The sequence below is a fragment of the Homo sapiens genome, chromosome 7, assembly GCF_000001405.40.
Source record: "Homo sapiens chromosome 7, GRCh38.p14 Primary Assembly".
Classification (NCBI taxonomy): Eukaryota; Metazoa; Chordata; class Mammalia; order Primates; family Hominidae; genus Homo; species Homo sapiens.
The window spans coordinates 87,853,466-87,879,350 of record NC_000007.14 but is presented as its reverse complement, the minus strand read 5'-3'; the positions used below and the strand labels follow the sequence as shown (position 1 = coordinate 87,879,350).

At 38.9% G+C, this 25,885-nt stretch overlaps 2 protein-coding genes across 5 annotated transcripts in view, besides 10 other annotated features; one reads left to right on the top strand and one right to left on the bottom strand.

Annotated features, from left to right (window-relative positions):
* Nucleotides 1-2,858, bottom strand: part of DBF4 (DBF4-CDC7 kinase regulatory subunit) — a 33,061-nt gene extending 30,203 nt beyond the window's left edge. For 3 of the 4 annotated variants that reach the window (NM_006716.4, NM_001318062.2, NM_001318060.2), the window contains exons 1-2: nt 2,573-2,858; nt 1,126-1,298 (exon numbers count right to left, since the gene is read on the bottom strand). In NM_006716.4, the coding sequence (NP_006707.1) occupies nt 1,126-1,298; nt 2,573-2,618 (219 nt within the window). In that variant the 5' untranslated portion in view covers nt 2,619-2,858. The remainder of the gene's footprint in view (nt 1-1,125; nt 1,299-2,572) is intronic. The other variant, NM_001318061.2, reaches the window with a different exon arrangement.
* Nucleotides 2,159-2,489: an origin of replication, noted in NCBI's record as "Initiation Zone II (+130 to +460 region); multiple putative sites of leftward leading strand synthesis identified by primer extension of one-way PCR of nascent strands". NCBI's record gives the evidence for it as "EXISTENCE:primer extension assay evidence [ECO:0001819][PMID:18536724]".
* Nucleotides 2,159-3,301: a biological region, named in NCBI's record as "origin of replication in promoter of DBF4".
* Nucleotides 2,219-3,218: a DNaseI hypersensitive site, noted in NCBI's record as "the nucleotide coordinates are approximate for this feature". NCBI's record gives the evidence for it as "EXISTENCE:in vivo cleavage assay evidence [ECO:0001075][PMID:18536724]".
* Nucleotides 2,579-2,698: an enhancer, noted in NCBI's record as "active region_26234". NCBI's record gives its function as "activates an Ori minimal core promoter by ATAC-STARR-seq in GM12878 lymphoblastoid cells {active_cell/tissue: GM12878}" and the evidence as "EXISTENCE:reporter gene assay evidence [ECO:0000049][PMID:35858748]".
* Nucleotides 2,718-3,293: an origin of replication, noted in NCBI's record as "region spanning Prom7B and Prom8 amplicons; peak of nascent strand synthesis detected by quantitative PCR of size-fractionated DNA". NCBI's record gives the evidence for it as "EXISTENCE:fractionation evidence [ECO:0000100][PMID:18536724]".
* Nucleotides 2,759-3,018: a silencer, noted in NCBI's record as "silent region_18353". NCBI's record gives its function as "represses an Ori minimal core promoter by ATAC-STARR-seq in GM12878 lymphoblastoid cells {active_cell/tissue: GM12878}" and the evidence as "EXISTENCE:reporter gene assay evidence [ECO:0000049][PMID:35858748]".
* Nucleotides 2,759-3,598: a biological region, named in NCBI's record as "H3K27ac hESC enhancer GRCh37_chr7:87505271-87505780".
* Nucleotides 2,853-3,301: an origin of replication, noted in NCBI's record as "Initiation Zone I (-235 to -683 region); multiple putative sites of rightward leading strand synthesis identified by primer extension of one-way PCR of nascent strands". NCBI's record gives the evidence for it as "EXISTENCE:primer extension assay evidence [ECO:0001819][PMID:18536724]".
* Nucleotides 2,886-3,395: an enhancer, noted in NCBI's record as "H3K27ac hESC enhancer chr7:87505271-87505780 (GRCh37/hg19 assembly coordinates)". NCBI's record gives its function as "activates a minimal SCP1, AML or CMV promoter by ChIP-STARR-seq in primed H9 embryonic stem cells {active_cell/tissue: H9 hESC(primed)}" and the evidence as "EXISTENCE:reporter gene assay evidence [ECO:0000049][PMID:30033119]".
* Nucleotides 2,991-25,885, top strand: part of SLC25A40 (solute carrier family 25 member 40) — a 42,793-nt gene continuing 19,898 nt past the window's right edge. Inside the window, exons 1-5 of the mRNA NM_018843.4 lie at nt 2,991-3,255; nt 18,711-18,779; nt 20,600-20,720; nt 23,000-23,059; nt 25,041-25,147. Coding sequence (NP_061331.2) covers nt 20,624-20,720; nt 23,000-23,059; nt 25,041-25,147 — 264 coding nt within the window. The 5' untranslated portion in view covers nt 2,991-3,255; nt 18,711-18,779; nt 20,600-20,623. The remainder of the gene's footprint in view (nt 3,256-18,710; nt 18,780-20,599; nt 20,721-22,999; nt 23,060-25,040; nt 25,148-25,885) is intronic.
* Nucleotides 3,149-3,598: a silencer, noted in NCBI's record as "silent region_18352". NCBI's record gives its function as "represses an Ori minimal core promoter by ATAC-STARR-seq in GM12878 lymphoblastoid cells {active_cell/tissue: GM12878}" and the evidence as "EXISTENCE:reporter gene assay evidence [ECO:0000049][PMID:35858748]".

The window sequence follows — 25,885 nt, the reverse complement described above, 5'->3', positions numbered from 1 at the left end:
AAAGTAGAATAACTTTTCAGAGATAAGTAAATAAAATATATTAACAGTTCCAGGAAACCTGTTAGCACATGTTCTTCTGATAAGTTTCTAGTCTGGGAATCGGCTGGGCCTGGAGGGCTCATGCTTGCAATCCCAGCGCTTTAGAAGGCTGAGGTGGGCAAATCACCTGAGGTTAGAAGTTTGAGACCAGCCTGGGCAACACGGTGAAACCCTGACTCTACTAAAAATACAAAAATTACCCAGGAGTGGTGGCACATGCCTGTAATCGTAGCTACTCAGGAGACAGAGGCTGAGGCACAAGAATCACTTGAACCTGAGAGGAGGAGGTTGCAGTGAGCTGAGATCGCACCACTGCACTCCAACCTAGGCCATATAGAATGAGACTCCGTCTCAAAATAAAAATAAAAATAAATTGAAAAGTTACTAGTCTGGGAATGAAAGGATCAGTTTAGACATTCAAAGACGCAGACCTTCAGAAAGTCAAAGTCCAGCATGAACCTTTTAAACAGAAAAAAATCTTAATTACCTCATTTGCCAAAATTCAGCCAATATCAACCTTAATCCTATTAAGGTCCTAGAATTTTGCCTGAGTTTTCTAATTTCCCAATCATCTAATCAGTGTATAAGGTAGGAAAGAAGGTATTCCAGATTCTTAATGCAAATTTCTTTTCCTTTAATAACATTCATTCTGTTGAAACAACATCTGTATCACTCAGGAACAATTTTAACTGTGGTTTGCATGGCTGTTCTGTAGTAACATTCTTAACTGTTACACTAGTCCAGACAAACTTATGTAGCTCCCCAAGATTCATAATCAAGAAATTGCTGTTATCTGGAGGACATTCCAACATTACAGTAAGCAGTCAATGAGCAGTTCCACTAGGACAGGGGAGTCTTACACTCTAAGAACTTTACACTAGACTGCTAATCAGAGAAACCTGAAAGGTCTGTCAGTCCACAAAAGGTTAAAACAAATGGTTTTTTGTTAACGATAAACAGCTGATAAAAATGTTAAGCTTGGTGCTAATAGAAGCGTTTTCCAAAATGAAAAATTTAAATGATTACACAGTAGAAAGTACTAGTTACAAATTTTTCCTTCTATGCCAGTGTACGGTTTTCACTTACCCCTCCCAGATCCTTAATGTCCTTTTGAAGTTTTTCAGATATGGTGACAGAAGGTAAGTCAAGGTAAAATACTTTTCCCCAAAGTGGCTTACATTTGGATTTTTCTGGCCTGTTATCAGTTTTCAGAGATTTCAGAGATGGTCTGTTTTTTTCATTTTTGACTTGGATTCCACCTATTAAAGATGTTTAGAATCAGATGTTTTACACAGACACTTTTACTATTTTTAAAATATTTCATTATACAATATTACAGAATAAAAATCCTTACAACCCTACCAGTTTAAGTTATTAGCATTGAAATGTATTTCTTTGTAGTACTACTTAGGATAGAGGCAAAATGCCCTATATACTTTCACAGACCGCATATTGTAAAATAATAGTTGACTCAGCAAGAAATATTCGTGTGTTTATTCCTGAGGCACGGAACTATATAAAACTCTTTTGAAAGATTTTCTTTTTTTAGGATGTAAACTCCATGGGGATATTTAATACTCAACTATTTATTGAGCATCTGCCATTCTGCTGAACATTCAAAACTGGTGTTTAAACTTCATTTAGCGATGAAAGAATCCTCTGTTACGCAGAATAACCTAGTCCTCAAGGGTTTCAGACTGCTCAAGTTTTAGTTTCATATAAAGTTTGTCTGCATATTAACAACTAAACGGTCCATTTCACATACAATTTGTCTACGTATTAAGAACTTAACGGTCCATTACGAAGAACTAAACCTTTCATTATTTTCATTAGAAACAGATCTGAGATCCAAGCAACTGCTTTAAAAATTAATTTTTCAAACGCAATCTGTTCTTAAATTGGTAGTTACTACACACACACAAACACCTGTACAAAAAACTTAGGTGCTGGAATGTTTCACCAAATAAAGTGACTGAAAATGGAAATTTGCTTTTGTTTCCCTGTTTGTAATGTTGAAACCAGCAATGGGGTGTTTGAAATACAATGCTTTCCCCCAACTTATGAGGAAAGGAAAATAAACTTTCAAGGGTAAGACCAAAAATCCACCCACAATCACTCAATCTAATCCTGAAGCGAAAAGCCACGAGCGCGTCTGACTTTAAATTGAGGATGCAGTCCGTCGCCTCCAAGGGCCCGGGCGGAGGCTTAGCATATGCGAGAGCCCGGGAGCAGACAGCGCCGCAGTCCCGGCGAGGTCCCGGATCTGCACATTGTTTGCTAGTTTTCAACCGAAGGCACGACCGGGAATCAATCTGGGACCGCCGCTGTAAACGGCAGAGCGCTCGAGGGGCCGGGTCAGGATCCGTTCCTTCTTAGGCAAAACACTGAACGGGGGCTCCTTCCTTCAGACCCCAGAGGCCGGTCAGAAGAAAAGAAGCTGAGGACCCGGCGGGAGAAGTCTGAAGAATCAATGGTGGAACCACGAGGGGAGGAAAGGATTAAAGGGACTGCAGGCGGAGGAGGGGCTTCTTACCCTGGAAATGTCCTTTACTGTGGATCCTCATGGCTCCGGAGTTCATGGCAGTCGCCCGGCACCTACATGCTGGGTCCGGAGAAAGTGTCGCACCGGGCAGCCGCGAAAGCACGGCTTCCCCCGGCCTGTTGACAGGACGGCCGCCTCTCTCCTTCCGCCAGCTACGGCCTCTACGCAGTAGAGGTACCGCGTCTGCAGGTCGGGTTTCCGGGGCCGGATCCGGCTCCAAGGCGCGGAGGAGGAAGGCGCAAAGCACAAACGAGTGGGCTGCGGCGGTTGAAGATTTGAAAACGCGTCACGCGGCCGCGGCGCCGATACGCGCGCCCCGCCCCGTCTCACGCCACGCGCCGTGCCCCGCCTCGCGCTCGCCCCTCGTGCCTGCCTTCTCGCGCTGCGCGCCCCGCCCCCTCACGCCGCCGTCCTTCTCGCGCCTCGCTCTGGCCCTGCAGGTTGTGTTTCCGCCTCTACCCCGCCTCCATTCCGTTGCTCTCTCAGTCTCAGACCCGGGCTCTCGGTCCGCCGCTTCAGGTCTTGGCGCAGCCTCAGAGAGTTGGCGCGGCTCTGTGTTGACCAAACCTAGTGGATGCAGTTAGCGCCGGAGCCCGGCCCCGCCCGTCACCAGGGTTATTCCCGCCTTCTAGGTTTGCCAGGACTGCCGGCCCTGCAGCTGCCTTCTGCCCCAGGTATGCTAATTTTCCACTGGTCGGACGTCTGGGAAGCTGAAGGCGAGGGGCTTTGGCTGAGTCCGGACTCAGCTCTGGCCGGGCCCGGGGCCGGGGCCGGAACCGGAGCCGGACAGCGGCGGCAGCCGCAGCCCCTGCTCAGCGCGCCCTGGGTCGCACAGCAAGCGGGGTTTTCCCGCGGTCACTGCCGACCCCACCGGCTGAGGACAGCTGCAGAGGGACGTGCGGGAGTGAGGGCGGCCCCGGGGGGCGTCTGAGGGAGGGTCTGGCCAGGCGGCCCCGGCCTTGACGGCAGCGCCACCGCAGAACGCCTCCAGGTCACTTTGTGTCCTTGGGTAGTTGGCTATTTGCGCTGTCCTGTTGACTTTTATTGTATTCAGACCTGTTTTCTTTTAGTTGAGTGTAAGTTTATTTCAACAATGAAGGAGTGGAAAGTAACATCTCATTTTTTTTTCCTGTAAAACAGAGATTAAAGATCAAATTAAAATGCTTGTGAATATATTTTAATTTTATAAGTTGGAACATGCCTCTCCAAAAAAAAAAAAAAATCTGTTTCTTCAGGAGGAAGAGGATATTTTGAACTATTTTGCATTCCTCTACTCCAGGCCATAATAGGCACTCCTGTAGTGGTTGATTTTTTTACCTGGTAGCTCAAGGAAGTCAGAGTATCAGCGTTACGGTTTTGCAGGTAGGTACCTTAAAGAATAGACAAGGGTGGGTTGTGACAAGATTAGCTGGAGAACGCAGAGAACAGGTTTGCTAAGGGAAATGAGAGTTTGGTTTTAGACAGGTTTATGTTGAAGGGCCTGGGGCGACAGTCATGGAACTATGCTTATTAGACAGTTAAAGATGTTTATGACTCGAGAGAAATGTCTAGCAGAAGTGGACATGGGAAGAGGAAATAGAGATTGATTTGATATCTCTCCAATAAAATATTTCTGCATCAAGGTCTATTGATGTCAATCATGGGGCAATTCATTAGAGGTTAACAGATCTTGAGTGGTGGAAGGAAGTGTAGTTTGAACAAACATATTCAATATTGTAATTTCTATGGGAAAAAACTTATTTTCAAAATATAAGCTACAGAGAGCACAAAATGTTTATATTTACAGAAAGATTTAAAAAGTTGGGAAGCACTAATATAGAATGTAGTTAAAGCTTTGGGAGGAAATGAAATTGCCAAGGAGAGCATGTGAAATAAGAGAATTGATTATAAGCGTCGTTGATGAAATAGTGAAAGAGATGGAGAAAATGCCACAGAATTGGGAAGAGACTGCAAACATTGGAATCATATGGGCTTCACTAACTACTTGGCCTCTGGGTAATTTTGAGCCCCAATTTTAATCTATTAAAAGGGGGTAGTACTTCTCAGGGATGTTGTGAAGATTAAATGAACATTTTTGAATGCTTAGTACAGTGCCTGGCACAGAGTAGAGCTCCTTAAGAGCTCCATAATTACTATCATTCTAGTGAACACTGCACCAGTTCCTTCATCCCCAGGACAGATAAGGTTAAGACTTGAAAAATAAGTATTTGATTTTGGCGTTTCAGGTATCCTTGGTTTCCTTAAGGGTAATTTGAGTAGGTGGCAGAGATAAGTACAGTACTAGATAAAAATTATAATCTTGAAGTTCAGACAGGTTGAGTGTACTCTTTCAAAAAAATTTGTTATTGTAGGAAAGTATAATGAAGGGAAGACTGGATCTTTGGAAGGTTTAGAGGATGTGGGAAAGATTTTTAAGCATGCTTCTATTGAGGAACTTTTTTTTAAAAAAGGAAGTCCCATTTTATGGTCTTGTGAAAGATGAATTGTGTGTCTTATTTGCCGTGAAGAGGAAGGACAGTAACATAGTTGCACCCTATGCGGTTAGACTCACCCTCGACTGCACTGAAGATGGTAATTCCAAGCAATAAATAAGCAGGAAGTCCGCTTTATGCAATAGTTAGTAATTTTCTAATCTATTATCCAAGGTTAGTTTTTAAAATATTACTGGAACCTAAATCTGTTAGTAGCCACAGAAAGGATATGGCTGTAGTCAGTAAGGATAGAAACCTCCTTTTTATTGTCCAGTAATCAGGTCTGTTGGTAAGAGGGTAGGGTTTGTCTTAAAGTAGATCTTGAAAATATGCTTGAAAACATTTCTTCAGAGGAAGGGTAGACATTTAAGAAGAAGTGAATGGGGGCAGGGTTATTTATGGTGAGAAACTTTGTTCAAGAGTTATATTAGGCAAAATTGGAGAACATTGAGCAGAATCATGATCTAATTAAATGAATATGTGGCTGTGAATCAAGAGAAATGAATTTTATTCATTGCTGGCCCTGTCCCTAACTAGTTTTGTGACCATGGGCAAATGTTAACCTTTCTGGCTGGGCACGGTGGCTCAAGCCTATAATCCCAGCACTTTGGGAGGCCGAGGTGGCGGATCACGAGGTCAGAAGTTGGAGACCAGCCTGGCCAACATGGTGAAACTCTGGCTGTACTAACAATACAAAAATTAGCTGGGCATGGTGGTCCCCGCCTGTAACCCCAGCTACTCAGGAGGCTGAGGCAGGAGAATCACTTGAACCCAGAAGGCGGAGGTTGCAGTGAGCGGAAATTGCGCCACTGCACTCCAGCGTGGGCAACAGAGCGAGACTCCCTCTCAAAAAAAAAAAAAAAAAAAAAGTTAACCTTTCTATGCTAGAATTTACTTATCTATAAATGAAGATAATATTGTTCAGTCTACTCCACAACTTTTTGTGATTATCAGAGACCTAATCTGATCTTTCAGATTACCTCACACATACCCAAATATAAATTTTTTGTTCTAGAATCTAGACAAATTAATTTTGTAGTACTTATCACTTTTTTTTTCTTTCTTTTGCCTAAGCCTCTTCACCTGGCTCAGCAATTATTTTTTCCTGTCCATAGCAAACCTAGCTTAGATTCATCCTTTATCTCCTGCTCATTTGGGTATAATCATTCCTGTTTGATTCATTTGCCAACTATTGATATGTCGTCTTCTGAAATGTGTTCTGATCTATTTTTATTAATTTTCACATTTCATAGTCTCACTATCCTGGTGAATTGGAGGGCTTAAGGTTATATGTAAGGTTAAATTCTTAGTTTTGCAGGCTAAGTGCATGAAAGGATAGGATTGGTTAGTGGCTGTGGAACTGTAGTTAATGTCTCAGGTGACTGTGGGCTGGGAAACCAGGGTAAATTCAGCATTATCAGGCCCTTGAAGACATCCTAAGTGTGTTCACTTTAAATTACAGGCGCCTGCCACCATGCCCAGCTAATTTTTGTATTTTTAGTAGAGACAGGGTTTCACTGTGTTGGCCAGGCTGGTCTTGAACTCCTGACCTCAGATGATCCGCCAGCCTCGACCTCCCAAAGTGCTAGGATTACAAGCGTGAGCCACTGTGCCCAGCCTGCATTTAATTTGTTTATCTTGCTTTATTGTACTGGCTAAATTCTTCAGTACTTTGTTGAATAGAAATGATGAGAGTAGTAAATGGTTCTTATCAAACCGAGGAATTTCCCTTTCATTGAAAAGGATTGAAAGGCTTGCTCAAGCCTTTCAGTCATGGTGGGTGTGGGATGTTGTCAAAGGTTTTCTTCTTCCTCTATCATCTGACTGGACGTTTATTTATTTTTTATTCTTTTGCCTCAAGGGACCAGCTTTTATTGTTTTTTCCTATTGTTTTTCAGCTTTCAATTTTATTGGTTTTTATTTTCATTTCTTCTTCTTTTGGTTCTAATTTGCTCTTTTGTTTTTAGCTTAGATAGTTAATTTTAGGCCTTCTCTAATACAAGCATGTAATGCTATAAATTTCATTGTAAATGCTGCTTTAGCTGCATCTCAAAACTTTAGGTAGTTCTTGCCATTTTCTACTTCCATGTAAGTTTTGGAAAAGAGTTTGTCAAACCCACAAAAGTAAGAAGATTATGTAAGAAGATTAAGTAAGAGGTTATGATTCCTGTGAATCTATAGATAAATTTGGAAGAATTTATATCTTTATAGCATTTATTCTTCCAGTCTATGAAATGGTAATATTTCTTCATTTATTAAGATCTTTAATAAATTAGTGAAAGGTACACAACTACAGAACCAATGGATGTTAAAATGACAACAAAGTAATATTATGAACAACCTTATGCTGATAAATTCAACAACTTAAATGAAATGGACAAATTACTTGAAGTACACTAACTGTCAAAGCTTACAGGAGAAGAAATAACCTAAATATTCTTATATCTACTAAAGAAAACTCCAGGTCTGGATAGCTTCACTGGTGAATTCTCTCACATGTGCATTTTAAGAAAGGCAAAGATGATACAAAAAATTATGGATCAGCATCCCTAATAAACATAGATGGTTAAATTCTTAGCAAAAATTTAACAAATGAAAACCAATTCTATATACAAAGGATAAAACATCATGAGTAAATGGAGGTTTATTCCAGGAATCAAGCAGTGTAAATCACCATGTAACCAGACCAAAAAGGAAAAACCGTATGTATCATCTCAATAGATACTACCTGTTGCTGTATAACAAATTATTCCAAAATGTAGTTATCTTAAAATAACTAATCTTTATTATCTCACAGTTTTTGTGTGTCAGGAATCTGGATGCAGCTTAGTTAAGCAAGCTCAGGATCTCTCAGGACAGTGCAGTGAAGGTGTTGGCTGAGGTTGCATTTATCTCAAGGCTCAACCAGGGAGGGATCTAATTTAAAGCTCACTAGGGGTTGTTGGCAAGATTCACTTTCCTTTGGCTTGTTGGTCTGAAGGGCCTCAGTTCAATGCTATTATCTGGAGGCTGTTTTTGTTGCCCGAATGGGCCTCCACATAGGGCAGTTCACAGCATGGCAGCCTGTATCATTGAATCACGGTATTTCCCTGACGCCTTCATGCATGGGAACTGGAGTGCATGAGCACCGGCAGGGGCAAACTCTACTCACTCGCTGTTCCACCCCTCACATGATGGGGAGTGCAGGTGAGTGGATGCAGAAGCTAGGGCGAGTGCTTTTGGGCGCCAGCAAGAGCAAACTGTACCGGCCCTGTGGCAGCATCTAGGAGAGGGATGCCTGTGACCCCTGAAGCCCCAGAGGAAATGATACAGTGCCCTTTCAGTTTTGCCATCCACGGACAGCTTAAGTGTTAGCAGCTTATGAGGGTCAGTGTGATGGCCTTTTACACGTTCATGTGTGGCACCTGAGTTCTTGTCGGGCATCCAGGAGGAATGAGGTCACACGAACAACTTCAATATGGTAAATGCAGGGAGTTTTATTGCTGATGAAAGTGGCTCTCAGCAAGAAGGGGAGCTGAAAAGGGGTTGGAGCAGGAAGCTAATCTTACCCTAAGGTCCGGCCGTCCCCAGCCAGACCCATCTCCAAAGTTACACCATCAAGCCATCACTCTGAAGTAAGCTGCTTCTCTCAGACATTCGGCTGCTTCTTCTCTTCCCTGTGCTGGCTGAGCCTGTGGTTTTTATGGGCACAGGATGAGGGTGGGGCAGGTCATAGGTAGTTTTGGAAAAGGCAACATTCAAGTGGGAAAACAGGGATCTAAGTTCTCACTTTGGGCTGCAATTCCAGGCTTGAGGGTGGGGTCCTCACTGGGGATCTGCCCTCTTATGCCCAGAATTTATCTGCCTCTTGTCCCTATCATCATCAGATAAAGCTAGTGAAGAAAGCAGAGTCTGCTTTAGTGGACATCACAGTCTTTTATAAGTTAATCTTGAAAGTGACGTTTTATCATTTTTGTCCTTTGCTTCAGAAGGCCAACAACAGAAAAAATAGGCAAATTGAGCTTTGTCTAGACTTAAAACTTTTGTATGTTGAAGAACACTATGAAGAAAGTGAAAAGACAGCCCACAAAATAAGCTATTTTGCATCTAATATATCTGGTAAGGATCTAGTATCCAAAAAATATGAAGAATTATTATAACTCAATAAGAAGATGACCCAATTTAAAAATGACCAAAGGATCTAAATAGCTATTTCTCCAAAGAAGATATATTTCTCCAAAGAAGATATAATTGTTATGCATAACATAACAATTCCTTAGAAAAATGCAAAGTAATACCACAATGAGATTTCACGATTCATATATTCAAAGGAATAAAATGTTAAAACTGACCATACCAAGTGTTGTTAAGGATGTGAAGCAACTGGAACTTGCATATAGTGCTGGTGGGTGTGTAAAATGGTTCAACGGCTTCGGAAAACATTTTCTGAATTTCTTTAAACGTTAAACATACATTTACCATTTGATCCAGCTATTCTACTTATGTATTTACTCAAGATTTAAACAGATAATCATAGTTGCTTTATTTGTAATAGGCCCTAACTTGAAACAACCCAGATTTTCATCAACAGATAAATGGATAAATTGTAGTATATTTATGTAATGGAATAGTATTCAGAAGTGGAAAGGAACCAAGTATCAATGCATGTAATAAAATGAATGAATTTCAGAATAATTAGTGAGTAAAGGAAACCAGAAAAAAAGGGGGTACGAACTGAAATAGAATAAAGGGGAGAGGTTTTTTTTGGATTTTTTTTTTTTTTGGAACAGGGTCTCACTTTGTCACTTTGACACCCAGGCTGGCATGCAATAGCATGATATAGGCTCACTGCAGCCTTGACCTCCTAGGCTCAAGTGATCCTCCCATCTCAGCACCCCCATGTAGCTGGGACTAGAGGTGCACACCACTACACCTAGCTCATTTTTTGTATTTTTTTCTAGAGATGGAGTTTCACCACATTGCCCAGGTTGGTCTGAAACTCCTGAGGTCAAGCAGTTTGCCTCACTCGGCCCCCCAAAGTGCTAGGAATACAGGCATGAGCCACCACACCCAGCCAGAGGGGCGAGTTTTCAATTCCAAAATGGTGGTGTAGAAGCAAGTTGGCTTCATTCTCTTTAACAGAAAACTGAAAACAAATATACAGTGCCAAGATTACCACCAGCAATATCCCAGAACTCAAATAGGATGAGGCAGCTTTCAGAGCCACAGATAAATGAAAAAAACTCTAAGCAGATGGTCTGATATTGTGAAATATATATTTGGCTTTCATTTCCATTTCCTGATGTACAGCTCCTAAAATCCTTAGAATCTCCAAAGTCCTATATTTTTGTATGCTAATACTGACTGATAGCTTTAGGGTAGGATTGGTCACCAGAAAAATGAAGGCATGATTAGAAGTTTGGGACTTACAGCTGTACCCTGAAACCTTTGGGGAGAGGAGAGGAGCTGAAGGTCAAGTTGATCACTAATGACCAGTGGTTTAATTAAGTAGGCCTACATCATGAAGCCTTCATAAAAACCTGAGAGGACAGGGTTCAGAGAGCTTCTGGATAGCTGAATATGTTGAGGTTCCTGCAGGGTGGCATGCCCAGGAAGGGAATGGAAGCACCACCTCCTTCCCCTATACCTTGCCCTGTACATTTCTTCACCCGTTCCCTTTGCGATATCATTTATAAGGAACCAGAAAAGCTGTTTTGCTGAGTTCTGTGAACCACTCTAGCAAATTGTTCAAACCCAAAGAGGGAGTTGTGGGAACCCCAACTCGAATCTGATTAGTAAGAAGTTCTGGAGGCATGGACTTCTGACTGAAGGTGGGGAGGCAGTCTTGGAGACAGCCCTCAACCTGTGGGATCAGATTCTTATTTCCAGGTAGGTAGTGTCAGAATTAAATTGAAGGATATCAAGGTGGCAGGGTCCACTGCATATAGGTAGGGGGAACTCCTCACCCCCAAACATTTGGTCAGATAATTCTTTGTTGATTCTTCTGGTGTGAGAGCAGAGGAAAAACACGGTTTGAGAGTATCACAGATACTTTTCCTCCGAGTCTTCTGGCACCAAGTGCACAGAATAGTTCCCTTTAATTCATGGTTTCTATACTGGAAGTTGTGAGATTGAGGTGGACAGCCAGCTTCCCTATCATCTCGGGTTCCCTTTCAGGAGAATTCCTCCTCCCTCGACTCATTGGAAGCATTGGCAGTGCCTGAAGGTAGAAATATTGCTCAGGGCAGGCAGAGTAAAAGGTGGGGAGGTGGTACCACCATCCCTGACCTTGCAAACTCTGCTCTATAACTGAACCAAAGGAGATGCCAAATCATAGTGGCTGTTCAGCAACACCACAATGTAAGAGGTATGTTCCACAGGTCCCCTAGGCAGAAATGCCTAACCATCCTTCTCACACTGCTGTGATACATTCTCTGTGATTTCCCCTGTTCAGGACAGGCAGCATTTAGATTGCTTACTAAAGCTGAGACAATCCTGTGCTTAAAGTGCCACCTAGTACCAAAAAGGAGGCAGTGACCTAGTGGGAAACAATATTCAACAGATAAATTACAAAGAGTGTCTAAGCAAACATGCCCAGTAAACACCAAAACAATCCAGACCAAAAAGACTGGAATAAATGAATTATTCATTGCAAAGATATGGACATAAATCTATAGGAAATAACAAATAGGGAACAGTGACCTCCCCAAAAAGACATAGCAAAACTCCAATGACTGATCCTAAAGAGACACAGTACATGAGCTCTCCAACCAAGGATTTAAAATAGCAGTTTTAAGTAAACTTAGTGATCTCCAAGATAAAACAAAAAAAAATTCCAGAAATTTATCAAAGAAATTAAACAGATTGAAATTGTTTTTAAAAATGAAATCTGGAACTCAGCAATACATTTGTCAACTAAAAATTTGATTAGATACTGTGAACAGCAGAATGGATCAAGCAGAGAAAACAATCAGTGAGCTAAAGGACAGGCTATTTGAAAACACACAGAGGAGAATAAAAAGAATGAAAAGGAATGAAGATTACCTACAAGATACAGAAAATTACTTCAAAAGACCAAATCTTAAGAATTATTGGTGTTCAAGAGGGAGTTGAGGTAGAAAACTTATTCAAAGAAATAATAACAGAAAACTTTCCCAAACTTGAGAAAGATATAACTATCCAGTTATAGGAAGGTCTGAGAACAACAAACAGATTTGATCCAAATAAGATTTCCCTAAGGCATATGTTGGGAAAACCAGCCGCACACCACCCAGTGGGTACCCCAAGTCTGGCGGAGACAAAGGAGTTAGAAAAAGACAGAATAAGCGCTTAAAAGGCGCATCCAGGGGACCAGAGCATCGGAGGCTTGCTCACGGCCCAGAACTCTTGGGCTCCACCCAATTTATTGGTTTACAAGCTCTTTGTTCTTAGGGAAGATGGGAGGGATAGGAAGGGATGAGGAAAAGGATTAATCAGTGAAGGAACTCGTGAGTAGCAGTGGTGGTTTCTGTGAATTTCCTTGAGTAAAGGTGTGTGTCTAAACTACTTAAGATCTTTAACTTATCGGGACTGAAACAGGTGGGAGTGGGTTTCAGGAGGAGCCAAGATGTTTGATTATACTCCACTGCTTCAAGGAGTGTTATCTCCCTGAGCAACCTGTGGAATGCCGCTGAGCGGTTATGCTCTCAGGGCATAAAGACATGAAGGCAATAAGGAGACGTTTCTCCTCAGAGGACGCCCATGGCTTCCCATGAATGTCTCATGCAGGGGAAACCAACTCAACTGGCACCCCAGAAACTGTCTTTCCCACAGCATATAATAATCAAACTCTAAAAGGGCAAGGATAAAGAAAGGATTCTAAAAGCAGCAGAAGAAAAGAATCAAGTAACATGTAAACAAACTCCAATTCATCTGGCAACAGACTTCTCAACAGAAGCCATACAGGCCAGGAAGGAGTTAGATGACATTTTTAAAGGGCTGAATGAAAAAAAAAATCTGCCATCCAAGAATACTGTATCCAGCAAATATACCCTTGAAATGTGAAGGCCAGATAAAGTCTTTCCTAGACAAAAGCTAGGAGGATTCACCACACCATACCCATTTTACAAGAAACGCTAAAGGGAATTCTTCAACCTGGAGGAAAAAAACGTGTGAAAAGAAAACATTTGAAGGTGCAAAACTGGCCAGTTAAAGTAAGTACACAGACCATTAATATTCATTCATTTTTTTTTTTTTCCTAGAGAGGGTTTTGTTCTATTGCCTCGGCTGGAGTACAGTGGCATGATCTCAGCTCACTGAAACCTCTGCTTTGTGGGCTCAAGCGATCCTCCCACCTCTGCTTCCCAAGTAGCTGGAATTACAGGTGTGTGCCACCACACCTGGCTAATTTCTGTATTTTTTTGTAGAGATGGGGTTTCACCATGTTGCCCATGCTGGTCTTCAACTCCTGGGCTCAAGCGATCCACCTGCCTTGGCATTCCAAACTGCTGGGATTATAGGCATGGACCACTGTGCACAGTCCCCAAGAATATTCTTTTTTTTTCCCCCCGAGACGGAGTCTCACTGTGTCACCCAAACTAGAGTGCAGTGGTGTGATCTTGGGTCACTGCAACCTCTGCCTCCTGGGTTCAAGCAATTCTCCTGCCTCAGCCTCCTGAGTAGCTGGAACTACAGGCATGCACCACTGCACCTGGCTAATTTTTATTTTTATTAACGGAGTTGGGGTTTCGCCCTCTTGGCCAGGCAGGTCTCAAACTTGTGGCCTTAAGTGATCCGCCTGCCTTGGTCTCCCAAAGTGCTGGGATTATAGGCCTCAGCCACTGTACCTGGCCTCCCAAGAATATTCTAATGCTGTAATTGTGGTGTGCAATTCACTCATAACTCTAGTATGAAGCATAAGAGAAAAATCTGTTAAAAACTGTGATAGCTACTGCGGCCTGTTGAGAGATAAGGAATATAAAAATAGGTAAATTAAGACAAAGTCAAAATGTGTGGAGGATGTATTAAAGTGTAGAGCTTTTTTTTTAGTTTTCTCTTGGTTTCTGTTCTTTGTTATCTAAAATAAGTTTTCATCTTTTAAAAATAATTTGTTGTATTTACAAGATGATTTTTAAAATTCATGCCAACCACAATGGAAAAACTTATTGTAGATACACTAAAAATAACAAGCAATGCGTTAGACCAGTAGTGGTGGCTCGTGCCTGTAGTCCTAGGTCTGCAAGAGGCTAAGGCAATAGGATTGCCGGAGCCTGGCAGTTTGAGGTTGCAATTAGCTGTGATCCTGCCATTGCACTCCAGTTTGGGCACCAGAGCAGGACCTTGTCTCAAAAAAAAAAAAAAGAAAAGAAAAGAAAAGAAAAAAATCAACAAATCAAAACATGCTAACAAAGAAAATCACTTAGCCACAAAGGAAAACAGTAAGAATGGAAGAAAAGAAGAGGAGACAAGTTAGAAAACAGCCATTAAAGAAACAACAAAAGGGCAGTGGTAAGTTATTATTAGTACTAACACAGAATAGAAATAGATTCAGTTCTCAGCTTAAAGACACAGAATGGCTAAATGGATTAAGAAAACCAAGACCCAACCATATGCTGTCCACAAGAAACCTACTTAATCTATAAAGACACAATTTGAAAATGAAGGGATGGGGAAAGGTATTTCATTTATGCGAGTGGAAACCAAAAAGGATCTGGACTAGCTATGCATATGTAAAATAGGCTACTAGTCAAAGACTGTAAAAAGAGACAAAGTCACTATAAAATGATAAAGGGGTCAATTTAGCAAGATGATATAACAATTATAAATATTTAACCAATGCGGGAACACCCTGATATATAAAGCAAACATTAATAGATCTAAAGGGAACAGTTTGGTAAAATAAATAAGACCACGTTTTTTTGATAGATCAGCATGGTGGATATAGTTTACACTAATCCGTTGTGTATTTCAAAATAGCTAGTAGACAATAATTCACATCTTTCTAACATAAATATTTAAGGTGCTGGATATCCCAAGTACACTGATTTGACTTTATAAATTATATGAATGTATTAAATTATCACATCCACCCTGAATATAGTGCACCTAATACATATCAATTAAATTTTTAAAATAGTCCTAAAGGGAGAGAGACAGCAATTCAGTATTAGTGGGGAGCTTCAGTAACACACTCTCAGTAATGGACAGATCATTCAGACATAATAACAAACCAACAAGGAAACACTGGAGTTAAACTACACAGCCCTAACTGACATTTACAGAACATTTGTAAAATGAGAATGAAATTCTGTCGCTTGTGACAACATGGATGAACCTAGAAGTCCTAGAAATCCTTATGTTAATTGAAATAAGCCGGACAGAGAAAGACAAACATCACATGTTCTCAGTCATATGTGGAGCTAAAAAAGTGGATCTCATGAAGATAGTAGATTGGTAATTACCAGAGGCCAGGAAGGTTTTGGGGAAGGAAACTGGGAAGAGAGGTTGATGAATGAGTACAACTTTCAGTTAGAAGAAATAAGACCTAGTGTTTGATCGTTGAGTAAGCATACTTAATAATCTGTTGTACATTTCAAAATAACTGGAAGATAATTCGAATGTTCCTAACATAAATAAAAGATAAATGGTTAAAATGATGTATATCCCAATTACCCTGATTTGATCTTGACACACTATATTAATGTATCAGATTATCACATGTACCCCCAAAACATGTACATCTAGTATGTATCAATAAAAATAAATAAATGTCTTAGTCCGTTCTCACACTGCTAATAAAGACATACCTGAGACTGGGTTATTTATAAAGGAAAATTGTTCAATTGACTCACAGTTCATTGTGGCTGGGGAGGCCTCAGGAAACTGGCAATCACAGTGGAAGAGGAAGCACACATGTCCTTCACATGGTGGCAGCAAGGAGAAGTGCCAAGCAAAAGGGGGGAAAGCCCCTTATAAAACCATCAGATCTTGTGAGAACGCACTATCACAAGAACATCATGTGGGTAACCACCTCCATGATTAAATTACCTCTCACTGGGTCCCTCTCATGACACATGGGGATTATGGGAACTACAATTTAAGATGTGATTTGGGTGGGGAGACAACCGAACCATATCATGCATTCCTAAGTATTTTTTTAAAAAATGGAATAAAGGATTTCTCAAACCAGTAAGGAAAGTATACATGCCTTAACATCAAAGTAGGTAAAAGATGTAAATGGACATACTACAGAAGAGGCAATATATACTACTGATAAAAATATGCAGAGATGTTAAGCATCTTTATTGGCCAGGGGAAGGTGATACAGTTTGGCTGTATCCCCACCAAGATCTCATCTTGAATTGTAGCTTCCACAGTCCCCACATATTGTGGGAGAGACCTGGTGGGAGGTAATTGAATCATGAGGGTGAGTCTTTCCCATCCTATTCTTGTGATAGTGAATACCTCTCACGAAATCTGATAGTTCTATTAAGGGGAGTTTCCCTGCACAAGTTCTCTTCTCTGCTGCCATGTGAGACTTGCCTTTTACCTTCTGCCATGATTGTGAGGCCTCCCCAGGCATGTGGAACTGTGAGTTCATTAAAACACTTTTATTTGTTAATTGCCCAGTCTTGGGTATGTCTTTATCAGTAGTGTGAAAACAGACTAATACAGAAGGTAAATCAAGATTATAATAAGATTGCATTTAACACATATTTGTTTTGAAAAAATTGAAAATTCTGATGATACTGAGGAGATAGTGTTCTGTCTTCTGGCTTAAATGTAAGTTACTTTAATCCTTTTACTAAAGATTCTTCATTAATCTCCTGGTTAAGTGAATTTTGTTATTAAGTAACTTTTGTTTCTCAAGAAGGGCTCATGGGTTTTTCATGTTGGAGAATGCTTCCCATTTACATTTGAAGACCACCTTGGTTAGTTAGAGTAAATTATTAATGGTTACTTCAGTAGCATACAGAAGCAGAAAAGGTATAGAAAAGAGGAATTTTGCAGGGAGTTGAGGGAGGAAAGCTGTTCTTGCAGAACATTTCTTCATGAGATGTTCTACTATTACAGGAAAGCCAAGAGATATTTTGTTAGAGTGAGTTCTCCCAGTAGAATGTGTCCTCCCTAAAAAGGGACAGTGTCTGCACATAGGAGAATAGAAAGTGGGACAGAAAAAAGATAAGTAGGTTGGTAAAACTGTAGGGAGTTTAAAGCAGTGTTGAATACATTATGAGTTCTAGGCAGTTCACTGATAATCACTTCTCAGATTTTCTACCTGTACTCCCAAGTCTCTGGGAGTAGCGTTTTGCCTTTTTTTTCATTATTTTTGTAATAAATTGAAAAGGAGACTCATTTTTCATTTCTCATTATAATTAGATAACATGATTTTAGGAGATAATTGATGTAACTTATTTTTCTAAAATAGTATATATGTTATGAAACAATTTCATTAACTATTCTAAAAAGTTATATCTAAATTTCTGACTTGTTTCCTTACATTCTGATGGCTAGAAATATAATAAAGTTTTCTGGATTTAATTTCATGTGCGCATATTCAAGTTGTCAACCTTGCTGGCATCAATGTCAACAATAAAGTGCTGTGGGCCGTTTTACCATTCTGGAGGAGAAGTATACCTATATTCTAGCATACATATATTATTTTTCCACTTAAAGGAGCTCATTTAAATGAATGTTACAAATATGTTCCCTAGACTTGAAGATTCTACATAAGTTTCAGGAACTAAAATATTTTTATTGTACATATTTTCACATATACAGAAAAATACAGAACAATGAAATATGGTATATGTTTACATAGGTTTACCAAATCATAACATTTTAGTATATTTATGTTTTCAAAGTATTGTAAACTACAGTTATTAGAACATTATGGTCCTTAATAATTTAGAATGAATCTCTCAAAAAAATACTTTCTGTATACAAAATGAACAAGATTTCTGAAATATTATCTAATATCCAATTAATATTATCTAATACCAGACCATGGTCACATATCACTAGTTACCCTCAAACTGGAAAAATTTGTTTGTTTGAACCAGGGTTCTTTTGGTGGTTGACTCTTAAGATTCCTTTTAATCTAGAACAGTTTACTCTCCCTTGCCACGTTTTTTTCCCACCTTTGATTCAAATAAATCAAGACAATAGTCTTGTAGGCTAAAAGAGTACAACTTCTACTGTTATGTGGCATCCATTACCTTGTTACACTAGTTGCTGAATTTCCTGTGACTTGGAAGTTAGACCTAAAGCTTGTTGTTTCAGATTCAGATTAAAGATTGTTTCGATTCAGATTAAAGGTTCGCCCTCTTACACTCCCTTCCCAAAAAAAACAACCGTCATAGATGATGCTGGCCCTTTAATTTTGTGTTACAAAATCTGGTTGTTCTACTGTAAATGATGCTAAGATTAATCACTGTGTTTGGGCTCTAGAGTCGTTTGCTTATTTGTTTTTAAAGCAGAGTATATTAACTAGAATAACATGAGGTTTTTGTGAAAATGCTTCTATAACTAATGCTTGCATTTATGGAGTGCTCTTTATATTCTTCAAAGCAATTAGTAGAAAGCATTTAATGAGTATTTGTTGATTTTTGTATTAAAGTTTTTATGTACTCTTTTCTTTTAGATTTATTATCCTTTTCCTGTGTGAAAAGATAAGACAATTACTTTCTTCTTAATTACAGGTTTTTGGCTACTGATGTTACAAACAATAAAATATTGGAGCATAGAGTTGAAGAACAGACTCAAACCAGGTAGGTAGATAATAAAAGTCTAAAGAATCAATAAAATTACTATTTATTTTGATAAAGGACATTATTGATATTATTGACAGAATTGGAATATGAACTGTAGAGTACGGTTCAAAATTAAGTTTCCTGAATTTGATAATTGTATTGTGATTATATAAGATAATATTCTGATGTATTTATGGTGAAGGGACATGATGTATGCAGCCTACTTTTGAATGGTTCAGAAAAAAAATTATATGTAATTTGACAGAGAATTTGATAAGTCATGGATAAGTAGGAACTCTCATATTGCCAGTAGAAGTATAGATTGATCCAAGCTTTCTGGAAAGCATCATGGCAATTTGTATGACGTTTTTTTTGTTGTTGTTGTTTTGATTTTGACATGTAGTCTTCTCTGTCACCTAGGCTGGAGTGCAGTAATGCGATCTTGGCTCATTGCAACTTCTGCCTCCTGGGTTAAAGGGATTCTCATGCCTCAGTCCCCCACGGAACTGGGACTACAGGTTTGCGCCACCATGCCCTGCTAATTTTTTGTATTTTTAGTAGAGACTGGATTTCACCATGTTGGCCAGGCTGGTCTCAAACTCCTGACCTCAGGTAATCCACCTGCCTTGGCCTCCCAAAGTGCTAGGATTACAGGTGTGAGCCACCACACCTGGCCCTGTATCAAGTTTTAAAATAGCTTATCCCATCAATCTTACTATCTTTCCTACAGTAATTGTAGGAAGGTTACAAAAATATATATATGTATGTATAAGAATGTTATAGCAGAATATTTTATAGTTTGGAAATTGGCAACAACCTGATATCTAACAATCTGAAACTGATTAAATAAATATAATTAACTACCGTGCAAGCAATAAAAATGTAAATCTGTTTTTATTGACACAATGTCTATAATGTGTTTTTAAGTGTTAAAGCAGCCTACTAAACAAGCAAAATAGTATTGACCTGTTTTTCAGAAAAGCTGTATGTACACGGACACATAAGTGTACGTGTGTTTGATTAATATACAATATTTGGTTAGATGTAATGTGTGTGTATAGACATATACATATGTATGTGTGTATGTTCATAGACATTTGGAAAGATGACATTCCTGTTGCTGGTGATTATTATTATTATTTTTTTTTGAGACAGAGTCTTGCTCTGTTGCCCAGGCTGGAGTGCAGTGGTGCGATCTCGGCTCACTGCAAGCTCCGCCTCCTGGGTTCACGCCATTCTCCTGCCTCAGCCTCCCGAGTAGCTGGGACTACAGACACCTGGCTAATTTTTTGTATTTTTAGTTGAGACAGGATTTCACCATGTTAGCCAGGTTGGTCTCGATCTCCCGACCTCATGATGCGCCCGCCTCGGCCTCCAAAAGTGCTGGGGTTACAGGTGTGAGCCACCACGCCTGGCCGGTGATTATTTTTGAATAGTAAGTTCATAAGTTATTTTTATACTGTTCTGTATTATCTGACTTTTTAAAACTTTTTATGTTTTTATGTTGCTTTTCTCATCAAATTTTTGTAAGATAAAACTTATTAAGGTTATGTGTTTTTATTTTACATCTGTACAACAACTACTGGTATACAATAAAGGGCTGTATTTGCTGATACCTCTGTACTCTATTGGGGAGGTTTTTTTAGTAGTGTGTATGAGGCTGAGTTCACAGACTCAGACTTAGTGGTCACCTGCTTTCATTCTGTCAGTATCTGTTTGGTTAATTCTCTCTTAGTTGTCTTACTAATGTGATGCTGCTCACCCAGCTTAGCTGAAGGATGTTATCATTTTTGAAAGATCAGAGGATGTGCTCTAATTTTATGTTTTCTTTTTAACAGGTTTTTATTTAATTAGTTAAAAATATGGATCCTGAGACAAGGGGACAAGAGATTATCAAAGTGACACCTCTTCAACAAATGCTTGCCTCATGTACTGGAGCTATACTGACATCAGTAATAGGTAAAATTATGTTACTGATGTAGATTATGTAACTTTGAATGAGTCAGTGCTTCCATTTGAGTTTTAGTATCAGTATTTCAACGTAGTTTCTTTCTATTTTCCATAAGTATTGGCTGGCTGAGAAATAAAGAGTACAAAGAGAGGAATTTTACAGCTGGGCCTCCGGGGGTGACATCACATATTGGTAGGACCGTGATTGCCCACCTGAGCTGCAAAACTAGCAAGTTTTATTAAGGATTTCAAAAGGGGAGGGGGTGTAAGAACAGGGAGTAAGGTCACAAGATCACATGCTTCAAAGGGTAAAAAGGAGAACAAAAATCACATGCTTCTGAGGAAACAGGACAAGGGCAAAATCACAGACTCCTGATAAGGGTCCAGCAAAGATCACAAGGCAAAGGGCAAAAGCAGAATTACTGATAAGGGTCTATGTTCAGCAGTGCACGTTTTGTCTTGATAAACATCTTAAACAACAGAAAAGAGGGTTTGAGAGCAGAGATCCAGTCTGACCTCAAATTTACCAGGGTGGAGTTGCCCAATCCTAGTAAGCCTGAGGGTACTGCAGGAGACCAGGGCGTATTTCAGTCTTTATCTCAACGGCATAAGACAGACACTCCCAGAGTGGCCATGTATAGACCTCCCACCAGGAATGCATTCCTTCCCCAGGGTATGAATTATTAATATTCCTTGCTAGGAAAATAATTTAGCAATATCTTCCCTACTTGCATGTCCGTTTATAGGCTATCTGCAAGAAGAAAAATATGGCTCTATTTTGCCCGACCCTGCGGGCAGTCAGACCTTATGGTTGTCTTCCCTTGTTCCCTAAAATCGCTGTTATTCTGTTCTTTTTCAAGGTGCACTTATTTCATATTGTTCAAACATACATGTTTTACAATCAATTTGTACAGTTATCACAATTATCATAGTGGCCCTGATGTGATGTACATCCTTAGCTTATAAAAATAACAGGATTAAGAGATTAAAGTAAGACAGGGGTAAGAAATTATGAAAGTATTATTTGGGAACTGGTAAATGTCCATGAAATCTTCAGAATTTATGTTCCTTTGCTGCGGCTCCACCTGGTCCCTCCATTCAGGATCCCTGACTTCCTGCAACACATACTATCATTTATGATCCATGAATGTTTCATCATATTATTATATGAAAACAACCCTGGACAGAGATTCAAGAGACTTGAGTCCTTGCTTTGCCATTCTCACGGTGAATACACTTGGGAACAGTATCTAACTTTTATTTGAACTTCATTATTTCATCTGTAAATTAGGGGCTTATAACTGGGATTTCTTTTGGGTCCCTATCAACATTAAACTTTTCTGATTCCCCATGTCTATAATAGAAAGCAAGAAGATGGAATAAAATATTAGCATAATGAATAATACAGAATTTTCACAATTTATGTTCGTAACAATTACAAATAATCTTTACTTTGCATTAACGGAATTTCTTAAATTTCTCTGGTTCACAGTTTTCTGTTTCTTACAGTCAGCTTCTTGTAGATGTAGCCAAATGACACAGTTAGGTGATAGTTTAGCATTTTAATGATTTTTAAGTTGGCTAGTTTATGTAAATAACAAATGATTAGAACAAATAAATTAATTGCTTATGATGTATTTTCAGGTCAGAATTTGAGTTATAAAGGTCATAGAGATCATCTAATATAATTATCATCATTCTCAAGATGAGGAAAAGTTTTCTTAGAAACATTATTTGGCATTTGTTTCTACTTGGATAAAATATAGCATGCATATTAAAACTATTTTCCTTTGCTGTGCTATGCCCAAATGGAATAACATAACTTAGTGCTAAAGATGTTTTATGACTAGTTTACTCAAATTTTTATTATCTGTACCTCTTATTTGATACAGGTAAATTTAACAGATTGGGAAGACTAATATCATTTGGCTATTGATTACTTATAGAAAGTTATTCTCAAAGTCTTTTGGAACTTTTACTTCTTATATTAGAAATCATATTTTCTTATAAATACTGACTTTAATGCTAATGTAATGATAGTTGTAGGAATATTACAAATAACAGTTTAGTACTCATGAGAGAAGTAATTCGTCTGTCTTTCACTGATTAACAAAATTTAAGGGCAAAAAAATTAGAATGTTACATTCAAGACTACTTTAAGATAAATAAGCTTACCAATTATATAGCCATGAGGAAAAGTATGAATCAATGTATTTTGTGTTCTGTGTAAAACATCTATCCAATTTACAGATACCACTCGCTAATTGAAACTTAACATATCTTCATAGTGACACCCCTGGATGTTGTTAAAATTAGACTCCAAGCCCAAAACAACCCACTCCCCAAAGGTATGTGTACTAATTGCCCTAAAAATGTTATGTTTGATTTTTAAATGTTCCTGTGGTTTTTTTTTTTGCCTAACATTCATTTGCTAATTTATTAAAATTGATGCCTCTTTATCCTCATGAAAAACTTTTTTTTTCACCATTTAGTTGTACGTGATGAGGTGTAGGCAAAAAGCAAATAAATACATAATATTTATATGGACCTACTAATTAAAGCAAAGGATGGTTATGTATTTGTATTTGTGCCTCAGAGGTAAGAACAGAATTATATTTGTGAGGGACCTTAGAATCCAGCTTACTCCTGTGTCCAAAAGTTGTGCCCATGTTAGAGCATTCATGACCATCATACAACTATTGCTTGAATATAGTGATTGGAAATTTATTATTTTATCAGACAGCTTGGTTAATTTCTGGATAGTAGTTTATGTAGAATTTGAGACAAATAATGATGTATTTTTATAAGATAGGCAAAATTCGCAATTCCTTAGATTTTATAGGTTTATAAAGATAATGGCATTGCAACCATATTTTAAGTGGCAGAAAACACGTGTTTGGACTGTGAGAAAATTGGCTCAGATATAAAGCCACTGTGTTGAATTCAGAGTGGTGAGATGGAATGAACAGCCCTGGTATTTTAGATGAATGAAAGGATAGATTGATTGTAGGAAGATGCTGAAAAGGTAATTTCCTATACATTAAAGAAAGCCATAAAAGCAGAAGGAAACACTCAGACCTAAGTATTACAAAATTCACAGCTTTGTATTTTTACATACTGTTGGGCAGAGAAGACAATTTTGGCAACAGTTAGTCCAGTAAGTGGGAAGAAGTTGGTATTAGAGAAAGTTGTACTACATTAGGTGGAATGTGACAAATGGCTAGACTGAGCAGTACAGTACAGATACAGAAAAAGAGACAAAGCATAGCATTATGTACATTGAGAATGACATTTAAAAAAAAATTCTAGTTTTGTCTGAATTTCCCTTGCATACCACAGATTTTTCTTCTGGTCAAATAGAGAAGATATGCGTCCATGTTCCCTTCTCTAAATGGGTTTTCGTCTTTTATCTTCCTTCTTCATTCCCTCAGATAACTTAAAAGAAGTTATTTTTGTGTCCTTTTTTTTTTTTTTTTTTGAGACTGGGTCTTACTCTGTCACCCAGGCTGGAGTGTAGTAGTGTGATCATAGCTCACTGCAGCCTTGACCTCCTGGGCTCAGGTGATCTTCCCACTTCAGCCTCCTGAGTAGCTGGGACTACAGGCACGTGCCATCACACCCAGCTGATTTTTAAAATTTTTTTGTAGAGATGGAGGCTCACTGTGTAGCCCAGGCTGAAATCAAACTGGCCTCAAGTGGTCCCCTGGCCTTGGCCTCCCAAAGTGCTGGGATTACAGGCATGAGCCACCATGCCCAGCCATTTTCTTATTGCAGTTCTGAAAACATAAATCCACTAATTTACAGTTACTTTTTTTTTTTTTTTTTTTTTTGAGACAGTCTTGCTCTGTTGCCCAGGCTGGAGTGCAGTGGCGCGATCTTGGCTCACTGCAAGCTCTGCCTCCCGGGTTCACGCCATTCTCCTGCCTCAGCCTCCCGAGTAGCTGGGACTACAGGCGCCCGCCACCACGCCCAGCTAATTTTTTGTATTTTTAGTAGAAACAGGGTTTCACTGTGTTAGCCAGGATGGTCTCGATCTCCTGACCTCATGATCCGCCTGCCTCGGCCTCCCAAAGTGCTGGGATTACACCGGCCTAATATACAGTTACTTTTAACAACTCTGAGTTTAGAATGCATTGCAGTAGCATTAAGCAAATCAAATTAATTTTGTCTGTTTCATCCTAAAAAGTAGAGATGTTTATTTATCTTTTTCAAGATTGTTTCTCTTTTCGTAATTTTCTAGTTTCCTCATTGTGATGTCAATTTGTTCATCTGTAAAAATAATAACAGTTATGTGAGGTAATTGTTGGTTGTTGGAATCTTCTTTGTTAGGAAAATGTTTTGTATATAGTAATGGACTCATGGATCATCTATGTGTCTGTGAAGAGGGAGGCAACAAACTATGGTATAAGAAGCCAGGAAATTTCCAGGGAACATTGGTAAGGTGATTATATTCCTTAGAATCACAGTATATTTTCTATTTAATCTTATATGTGAAATATTTTCTAATTGCAAGAGGGTTAAGAATCATATTAAACTGAGAACAGGGAACTACTTCTTTGCTTTTAACCCTTTGTTAACCTTTTCATAGGTTCATGGTTTTGTGTAAAAAAGGGGAGGTAACTTTTTAAAAAACTAAACATTTTTATTTTGAGATAATATAAAATGAAAAAAATATATACAGACAGATTTCATGTACCCTTTTCTTAGTTTCCCCCAGTGGTACCATCTTACAAAACTAATAGTGTCACCACTAGGATTTTGACATTGATTGATACAATTAAAATAATAATTTCATTATCACAAGGATTCTTTCTGTTTCCTTTTTTAGAGCCACACCCATTTCCGTTGTGTTCTCACCAACTCCTTAAGCCCTGGCAACTACTAATTTGTTCTTCATTTATATAATTTTGTCATTTCAAGAGTGTTGTATAAATGGAATCATGACATATATAACCTTTTGGGGTTGGCATTTTTTACATAGCATAATTACCTGGTGATTCATCCAGGTTGTTGCATGTGTCAATCATTTGTTCCTTTTTATTGCTCATGATATAGATTATTTCATGGTGTAGATATAATACAGTTTATTTTCAGAGTTTTTTCCAGATTTTGGCTATTATGAATAAAGCTGCTACAAACATTCACTTACTCTGGGAAAAATGCCTTAGGGAATA